General features: G+C 35.0%; 1 annotated feature.

The window, feature by feature from the left end:
• Positions 667-1,210: an enhancer, noted in NCBI's record as "OCT4-NANOG hESC enhancer chr5:128746164-128746707 (GRCh37/hg19 assembly coordinates)". NCBI's record gives its function as "activates a minimal SCP1, AML or CMV promoter by ChIP-STARR-seq in naive H9 embryonic stem cells {active_cell/tissue: H9 hESC(naive)}" and the evidence as "EXISTENCE:reporter gene assay evidence [ECO:0000049][PMID:30033119]".

The raw sequence follows: 10,597 nt of genomic DNA on the forward strand, positions 1-10,597 counted from the left end.
TGGGCTGGAGAAGAAGGTCGGGGAGAATTTGATGACTTTTTATATCATCCAAATATCCTAGAATTTTCAAAACTGACACTGTAGGGGTGAAGTTTTTCTATATTATTGAAAAGTGGAAATAATTACTAAACCTGATGAGAATGTTTGACAATTAGTTATAAAGTATATGTTGTAATTTAAACACCATGTGACTAACTTCTGTTAGATAAGTGAATATGTATGCTTTGCACATTGAAATAACACCTGAGAAAACCACTAAGTTTGTTGTTTAGTTTTCGCCTAAAACCATAAATTTTCAGAGAAAGGACAAGTGGGGCTGCTCTAAGATATGGGCTTCATGAGAATCTTCCACATTTTCACTCAGAGGTACTCTTACCTATCTCTGGGCAAACATGTTAGGGAATATAGGAATATTTGATTTCTTCTTGAGCTGATTGTCCCTATAGCATTAAATACCATAAAGTTTAGATCATTTTTCCCTCTAATAGCTTAATTCACCAGTTAGGTCAAATCTTTCAGATGTGAGATTTTTAAAATTTATGATTTGCTAAGAGATTTTCTTCACAGTAGAGGAAATTGAAGATGGAATATGTAATCTTTCCACTGTACTTTCCTACAATTATAAAAAGTAACCAAACTTCCCTAAAAATAATAGACAATTTCTTAAATTCTTTTAGGATATCCAAATCCATGGTCACTTAACTTTGTTCAAAACATCTTTGCCTCTAATTGTGTTAGAGTAAATTTTGTTGGAATTTGCCCTTGAGGTTACTCCCTAACCACGTCCACAAACATTCTTTTCATATTGTCACATCTAAAGAAGATCCTTCAGCCGTTTCATTTACATCAAGTGCCTCCCCTCTCGGTGTGAGCTTAAGTGAGAGCATAGGGCACACCAGGAAAGCTTCAGCCACTGAATGCTGATGAAGTGATAACTTCAAAGAAGATGTCATTGGCTCGTCACAGCAGGTTGGCAGCTGCAAGACAGGGAGCTCAAGTGTTATGCGCTCAGTGATTCCTATCCTTTGTGACTGCAGAATAGACTTAACACAGTGATTTCTAAGTTATGTCATGTATCTAGGTACCATTGCTAATATGAGAATTTATAAGAGATGTCTAAGAAACGGTGGCATAATATCTCAGAACACAAGTTGTCTATATAACCCTGTTAGTGTTTTGAAAGTTTTGGAATCTCAAGACTTGACATTGTCTTGTAAGCATTTTTTTTTTAAATGAAGCTACATATGTCTTTCTATAGCAGAGTCAGAGTGATGGATATATTGTCACCTGCTTTGGCAGACTCATTGAATATTCTTGAGGCAGAGCAAATGGGAGGACTGAATTCCCAAGATTTTGCCCTTTCACACTCCATGCACCCTACTATTCCCCTCAGTCTCCTCACTATGCATCAAAACTAGCAGGTAAATCCTTGGCTCATGATGCATCCATAAGCTTTTCTCTCACTTTTCTAAAATATTAGAATCATCAAAATAATCATAGTCATATTTTTGTGATTTAGGATTAATATAACCTACAGTCAGTGATATAATATAGATTATGTCATAGCAATGAAAGAAGAATTTGGAAAAAAATAATCTCTGGTATAAAAGCCATAACTCAAAGCACATATTCAACTTAAAGATAGGCTTTAGGTTTTCATTAAAACCCTAAAATCTTTAATTCTTGCTGTGTACTTTAAGAGTTAGAAACACATATTTAAGATAACTCTATCTTACATACAACTTGAGTATGCATTAAATTCATTCATAAAATTTTAGTGACAGCCAAGGCTGCTTTTAAACACTGCCTACTAACATTCTATTTCTGAATGTATAAGGAAGCTACTCATTCACTTTCATTAAGGAAAAGTTGATTAAATACTTTTTCAAAGTACTATTAATAGTTTACAGGGATTCATGCTTCTCTCATTAGTACTTCAACTCACATTCCTATAAGGTGAGTCAAAATATCCAGAATTTAAAAAATACTCTGAATAAACAATTATTCCTATAGAGTTAATTCTATAAATCAGGCACACTGAATATCACTTAGCATTTAACCTAAACAAAAACAATATTACATACAAAATGGAATGGGCTCAAAAATGAGCTCACATTCAAGTCTATGAAAGGTTTCATTTTGTGGATTCACACCCCTCAACCCCAGCATTATGACACTATGAGGTGTACTTAATATTTGCTCTTCTTGATAAATCAGATGAACTAAAATCAAATGACAGATTTTTAACGAGGATCCTAACCATCTAAGTTCTCACAAAGACTCAAATTTCACAGTCCCCTTTTTCCTTGCCTCATGTCCCTTGAGGTAAAGGTTTGGATTTAGTGTATTGTTAAATGTCTGCTATACACTAGGCTTTGGCTTACATATTTTCACACATGTAATCTCCATTCATTTTTAGTTTTTAATTTTTATTATTTTTGGAGATGGCATCTTGCTCTGTCTCCCAGGCTGGAGTACAGTGGCACGATCACAGCTCACTGAAGCCTTGAACTCCTGGGGGCTCAAGTGATCTTCTGTTTGAGCCTCCCCGTAGCTGGGACTACAAGCATTCAACACTACTCCTGGCTAATTAAAAAAAAATTGTAGGGATAGAGTGTCACTATGTTGTCCAGGCTGGTCTCAAACTCCTGGCATCAAGCAATCCTCCCACCGACACCTCCCAAAGTGCTTGAATTACAGTTACAAGCCTCCACACCAGGCCTAATTTTAAGTTTTTAAATGGCACACACATACATACCCCATACCTCTCTCAATAGCACAAATAAAAGGGAAGTTTGTTGGAGTTTTTGAAACCACTAAAGGCCTGGTTTGGGTTAACATGCAATGTCAGTAAATGTGAATAAATATATTTTCATGGATTGTGTTCATAGAAAGATTTGGCCTGATTATTTGAATAGGTATAGTTGCCACACATCCTGAAACAAAGCGAATTTGTTTCACATCTGTTCTGTGTCTATAGTACTTCACATTATCTTGATATAAAGGACATTTGTTTTGCTTACTCTCAGCCTGTAGCCCTGAAGTCTGCTTAGGATTGCTTCACGTTTATCCTAGATGATTCTGTGATTTCTCCAGAAACAGTAAAAAAGGTATGCATGTTATTAACAGTACTGTTTCTACTTTGATCTTTATCACCACACTTCTGCTGAGTCTTATACATGTTCACATTCTCACAAGTGGTATTTGCAGACACCACCTCAACTATGTGCTCTAAGTTAGCTTCACCAACTTTTACATCAAGGATTTTAGGAGAAACTAGGGAGAAATTAGCAAATTTCTGTGGTTGAAAAGCCTGTTTTATTATTATTACTCGATAGCAGTGCTGTTTGAGTATGTCAAAGCAAAACTACTGTTCTCCTCTCCTCAATGTCTCTAGAACTTCATTCACTGTTTACCACCTCCCACTTCTGATTCATTTATCTCCCTTCCTACAAATCATTGTTTCCTGTAGAAAAGCTAACTCTACCGAGGCAGGCAGATTATGAGGTCAGGAGTTTGAGACCAGCCTGGCCAACATAGTGAAACCCCATCTCTACTAAAAATACAAAAAATTAGCTGGGCCTGGTGGTGGGCGCCTATAATTCTGGCTATTTGGGAGGTTGAGGCAGGAGAATTGCTTGAACTCCTGGGAGGCAGAGGTTGCAGCGAGCCAAGATTGCATCATTGCACTCCAGCTCCGGCCACAGTGTGAGGCTGTGTCTCAAAAAAAAAAAAAAAAAAGAAAAGAAAAAGAAACGTTAACTCTAACAACGCACATCTTATTTTTAAAAAAGTCCCCTTGACCCACTTCCTTTTACTTTAGATTTTCATTTATTTCTCTTCCCTTAATAGCAAAATTTTATGGAAAACACATTAATATATCTTGCCTCTATTTCCTAACTACCCATCCAAGCTTCAGTTCATTCCAATTTGGCTTCTATCTCCAGCTTACTAACAAAACTGTTCTTGTCAGTGACCTCCACTTTTCCAAATTCCATTAGATTTTTACTCATATTGTGGAGATTCTCAGCAGCACTTGACGTAGTTACACTATTTTTCTGAAAATGATGAAACTGGAAGCTCTTATCTTTTCCTCTACCCACTGATATACCAAGTAAACATCTGTTCATAGATAAATTCCCTTTGGGAGAAAGTCAGAGACCAGTGGAAAAACTACACCTTCAGCAATTGAGAAAATGTCCATATTGAAGGGGTAGGAAAAGTAGAGACACACTTGGGCATGAACCAAACTTCTATCAAACTTGCATTGCAGAGTGAAAAAGCTCAATATATAGTAGCCCTTCAGCAGCCAGAATGAAACTTGACACTTCATGAGCCTTTCCGTCAGCTTATCCCAATGATAAATCCAGTTCTACCCATGTTGTTCACACATCGAATAACCCCAGCTCCTGGGAGGAGTTTGGCCATTAACAAATGCCACAACTTCTATAACTCCCACCCAAGGCACTATCTCCTTATTGACCCAGACCTGGGAGTCAACAATGATTTGCATTTCTGATTAGCCATAGACCACAGAAAACAAAGAGGTGGACACACAACAGGCACACTGTCAGCATCTATCTCCCCAGGGTCAGAGCACACAGTGGAACATTAGTACAGGTATTTGCCACAGATCCTTTCCCTGGCCTAGTACAGAGAATGTAAAGATAAACACCTGTGCTTAACTTCACCATGAAGATATAAGAAACGGGGACACACGTGCAGCATATTACCATTTCCAGTTACATTTATTATAATAGTTTGGTTCCTACCTTACCAGTCTCAGTACGAACAGGACATGGCACACCTGGAGGATAAGGAGTCACCAGAAACAGATACAGCAGTCTGGACAAACCCAAAGATTTGAGAGACACTTAAAAATCTCTGGCTGGACAGATGAGTGAGATCCTTCTCCTAAAGAAGGCCAGTCTGTCAAGACTGGGAGAGACAGTTATATTACATAATATGCAAAAACCAACAGAGAGTTAAGGAAAATGAAGAAACAAAGCAATATATATTCAAATAAAAGAATAAGATAAATCTCCAGGGATAGACCTGAGTAAAGTAAAGATATGTGATTTACCCAACAGAAAATTCAAAACAATGGCCATAAAGCTGCTCACTGAAGTTAGGGGAACAATACAAAAACAAAGTGAAAATCTCAACAAAGAGAAGGCATTAAAACATACCAAACAAGGTCGGGTGTGGTGGCTCATACCTGTAATCCCAGCAATATGGGAGACTAAGGCGGGTGGCTCACTTGAGGTCAGGAGTTCGAGACCAGCCTGGCCAACATGGTGAAACCACATCCCTACTAAAATTACAAAAATTAGCTGGGTGGGGTGGAACTTGCTTGTAGTCCCAGCCATTTGGGAAGCTGAGGCAGGAGAATCACTTGAACCCAGGAGGCAGAGGTTGTAGTCAGCCAAGATCATGACACTGCACTCCAGCCAGGATGACAGAGTGAGACTCCATCTCAAAAAAAAAAAAAGAAAGAAAGAAAAGAAAAGAACAGTACCAAACAGAAAACAGAGCTGAAGAATAATATAGCTCAACTAAAAAATTCAATAGAAGGGTTTTCCAGCAGAATAGATCAAGTACAAGAAAAGATCAATGAACTCAAAAAGAGGTAATGGAAATCATATAATCTGAGAAGAAAAAATGTAAAAAGAATGAAAAAAAAGTAAATAGTTTAAGAGACATGGAACATCATCAAGCCTAACAACATATATATAATTTGTGTATCAGAAGGAGAGGAGAAAGGGAAAGGAACAGAAAATATATTCAAAGAAATAGTGGCAGAAAAGTTCAAGCCTGAGGAAGAAAACAGAAATCTGGATCCAATAAGCACAAAAGACACCAAATAAGATGAATCCAAAGAGGCTCACATAAAGACACATCAAAATGAAATTGTCAAAAATTAAAGAGTTTTGAAAGCAGCAAAAGAAAAGAAAATTGCTACATCAGGGGACTCCTCATAAGATTATCAGTGGATTTTTTAGCAAAACCTTACAGGCCAGAAGGGAATGCAGTGTTATATCCAAAATCCTGAGACAAACATGTTAACCAAGAATACTATGCCCAGCAACCCTGTATTTAAAAAGAGAAGGGATGAAATAGACTTTCTCAGATGAACAAAAGCTGACAGAATTATCAGAAGTAGACCCACCGTACAAAAATTCTAAAGTGAGTTCTTCAAGCTGAGGGAAGAGGATGTGAAATAGTAACATAAAAACTCATGAAACTACAAACCTCACTGGTAAAATAAGAACATTTTCAAATCTCAAGCAGTCTAACTCTGTAATAGCCATCGACAAATCAATTATATCTCTTGTATATAGGTCAAAAGGCAAACTATTAAAAACAATCATTGTGACAATAATTTGTTAAGGATACAAATTATTTTAAAAATGTATATTGTAACATCAAAAACAAAGCATGGGAGAAGAGGAACTAGAAGTGTGGAGTTCATATGTGATCAAAGTTAAGTTGTTATCAGTTTAAAATAGCCAGTTATAAGATGTTTTAGGTAAGCCTCAGGATAACCACAAAACAAAAGCTTATAATGGACACATAAAAGATAAAAAGAAAAAAGCAAAAGCCACTATAGAAAGCCATCAAACCATGAAAAAGCAACAAAGGAAGAAATAAAAGAACTACTAAACCACCAGAAGATGGTTAACAAAATAGTGCAATTCAGTTATTAGCTATCAATAATTACTTTGAATATAAGTTGATTAAATCTTCCAAACTAAATGCATAGAGTAGACAAAGGGATAATGCATAAGACCAAACTATATGCTGTCTACAATGGACTCACTTCACTGTTAGGGACCCACACAGACTAAAAGTAAAGTGATGGAAAAATATATTCCATGTAAATGGAAACAAAAAAAGAATGCTATATTTACATCAGACAAAATAGACTTCAGATCAAAACTGTAGAAAGAGACAAAGAAGGTTACTATACACTAATAAAAGTTTAATTTATCAAGAGGATGTAACAACTATATACATACCCAATATTGGAGAACCTATGTATATAAACGTTAAGAGATCTGAAAAGAGACATAGACTGCAACACAGTAATAGCAGGGAATTTCAATACCCCACTTTCAACATTAGATCATCCAGACAAAAAAATTAATAAGGAAATGCTGCACTTGAACTATACTTTAGACCGAAGTAGCCTCACAGACATATACAGAACATTCCACTAAACAGCAACAGAATACATATTCTTAAGTGCACATGAAACATTTTCCAGGACAGTTTGTGTTAGGTCACAAAAAATTAACAAATATATGGAAATTGAACAATGTACTTCTAAACAACTATTGGATCAAAGAAGAAATTAAAGGGGAAATTTTAAAATTTCGAGACAAATGAAGATAGAAGCACAACACACCAAAATGTATGAAATTCAGCAAACACATTCTAAGGAGGAATTTTATAGCCATAAATGCCTCCACCAAAAAAGAAGGTAGATCTCAAGTAAACAACCTAAAGTTATGCCTCAAGAAACTAGGAAAAGACAAAGCTAGGCTCAAAGTTAGAAGAAGGAGAAAATAATAAAGAAAAGAGAAAAAATAAATGAAACAGTGACTACAAAACAATAAAGAAGATTAATGAAACAGAGTTTGTTTTTTGAAAAGCAACAAAATTTACAACCCTTAGTTAAACTAAGAAAAAAAAAAGAGAAAAGATTCAAAATCAGAAACGAAAGAGGAGACATTAAAACTGATAACAGAAATACAAAAGATCATAAGAGACAACTAGGAACAACAACATACCAACAATTTAGACAACCTAGAAGATGAAATATTTCTAGGAAAATACAACCTACCAAGACTGAATCATAAAGAAACTAAAAATCTGAAAAGGCCAAAAATAAGTAAGGAGATTGAATGAAAAATTTTAAAAATCTCCCATCAAAGAAGGCCCAGAACCAGATGAATCCTATCAAACATTTAAAAAAAAAAATACTAATTTTTCTCAAACTCTTCCAAAAAACTGAAGAGGAAGGAACACTTCCCAAACTCGTTCTTTGAGGCCAGCATTACACTGATACCAAACCTAGGTAAAGACACTACAAGGAAAGAAAATTATAGGCCAATATCCCTGATGAGCATAGATGCAAAAATCTTCAACAAAATACTAGCAAACCCTATTCAACAGAACATTAAAAGGATCATTCATCATTGTTGGGATTTATTCCAGGAATGCAAGTTTCGTTTAACATACCCAAATCAATGTATGTAATTCACCACAACAGAATGAAAAAAAAAATCTTACAATCATCTCAATAGTTGTAGAAAAGGTATTTGACAAAATTCAGCATTCTTTCATGATAAAAACTCTCAATAAATTAGGTACTGAAGGAGTGTACCTCTAGACAACAAGTCATATATTAAAAGCTCACAATTAGCATCACACTCACCAGTGAGGAGAAAGGTTTTTCTACTAATATTCAGAACAAGACAATTATTCCCAGTCTCATGACTTCTGTTCAACATAGTCCTAGAAGTTCTACTGAGAGCAATTAGGAAAGAGAAAGAAATAAAAGGCATCCAGATAGGAAAGGATGAGGTAAAATTATCTGTTTGCTGACAACATGATGTTATATATAGAAAATCCTAAAGACTCCACAATAAAAAACCTGTTAGGACTGATAAAATCTGTAAAGTTGCAGTATATAAAAATCAGCTTACAAAAATCAGTAGTTTTCTCTACACTAACAAATTTTTTGAAAAAGAAATTAAGAAAATCTCAATTTCAATAGAAGTTGAAAATATAAAATGCTTAGGAATAAACTTAACCAAGAAAGTTCTGTATGCTGAAAACTAGAAAACATTAAGGAAAGAAATTGAACATTACACAAATAAATGTAAAGGTATTCTGTGTTCATGAATTGGAAGAATCTTGTTAAAATATTAATGCTACCCAAAGCAATCTACAGATTCAATGCAATTTCTATCAAAATTTCAAGATTATTCTTCCCAGAAACAGCAATGCTAAAATTCATATGTCATCACAGTGGCTGATCTCAAAATCTATTACAAAGCTATAGTAATCAAACAGCATGATGCTTGCATAAAAACAGACACATCAATCAACAGAATAGAAGAGAGGGCAGAAATAAACCCACACATTTATGGTTGACTGATTTTCACCAAAGGTGCTAAGAACACACAATGGAGAAAGGACAATCTCTTTAGTTAATGGTGTTGGGAAAACTGGATATCTACATGCAGAAGAATGACGATAGACCCTTACTTCACCTCGTATAGAAGAATGAACTCAAAATGAATTAAAGACTTAAACATGAGATTTGGACCTATAAGAACACTAGAAGTAACATAGATGAAAGTTCCGTGACATTGGTCAGGGCAGTGACTTGAATATGATACTATAATAACAGGCAACAAAAGCAAAAATAGACAAGTGGGATTGTATCAAGCTAAAAATATTCTGCACAGCAAAGAAAACAATACTCGAATAGACAACCCACGGATTGGGAAAAATACTTGTAAATCACACATTGGATGGGCTAACATCCAAAATGTACAAAGAACTCAAACTACTCAAATAATAAATAACCCTTTTTTAAATGGACAAAGGACTTGAGCAGATATTTTTAAAAGAAGAATTACAAATGGCCTACAAATATATAAAAAATTGCGCAATATCTCTAATAATTATAGAAATACATATTAAAGCCACAATGAGATATCACCTCACACCTGTTAGATTGGTTACTATCAAAAAATGAAAGATAAGTGTTGGTGAGAATGTGAAGAAAAGGGAACCCTTATATACACTGTGGGTGGTATTGTAAATTAGTACAGCCATTTGGAAAACCATATGGAGATTCCTCAAAACACAAAAAAATGGAATTACCATAGGATTAATTCCAATACTGGGTATATACCCAAAGGAATTGAAATCAGTATGTCGAAGGAATGTCTGCAATCCTGTGTTTGTTCCAGCGTTAACAATGGCCAATACTTAGAAACAACTGTAGTGTCCATCAACAGATGATTGGATTTTAAAATTTTGTTATATATACACAATAAAATACTATTCAGCCTTAAAAAAAGAAGAAAATTCTGTCATTTTGACATGGATGAACCTAAAAGCCATGATATTAAGCAAAATAAGCCACACACAGATAGACCAATAAGGTATGAACTCTCTAATATGTGGAATCTAAAAGTCTAACTCATAGAAGGGGTGTGTAGATTGGGGGTTAGCAGAGGCTGTAGGGGGTGGGGAACAAATGGGGAAAGGAGAGACGTTGGTCAGTTAGAAGAAATAAGTTCTGGTGTTCTATTGTACAGGACAGAAACCACAGTTAATAATAATGTATTATATATTTCAAATTAGCTAAAAGAGAGTATTTTAAATATCCTCATCACAAATAAATACTTGAGGTAAAAGATATATGCTAATTAGCCAGATTTGAACATTCCACAATGTATACATGGATAGAAACATCACATTGTAGCCCATAAATATATATAATTGTCAACAATAAAACAAAAACCTAGATCAATAATCCCAAGATTATTGTTTTAATAATTCAAAGAATCTTCTG

The sequence above is a fragment of the Homo sapiens genome, chromosome 5, assembly GCF_000001405.40.
Source record: "Homo sapiens chromosome 5, GRCh38.p14 Primary Assembly".
Taxonomy (NCBI): Eukaryota; Metazoa; Chordata; class Mammalia; order Primates; family Hominidae; genus Homo; species Homo sapiens.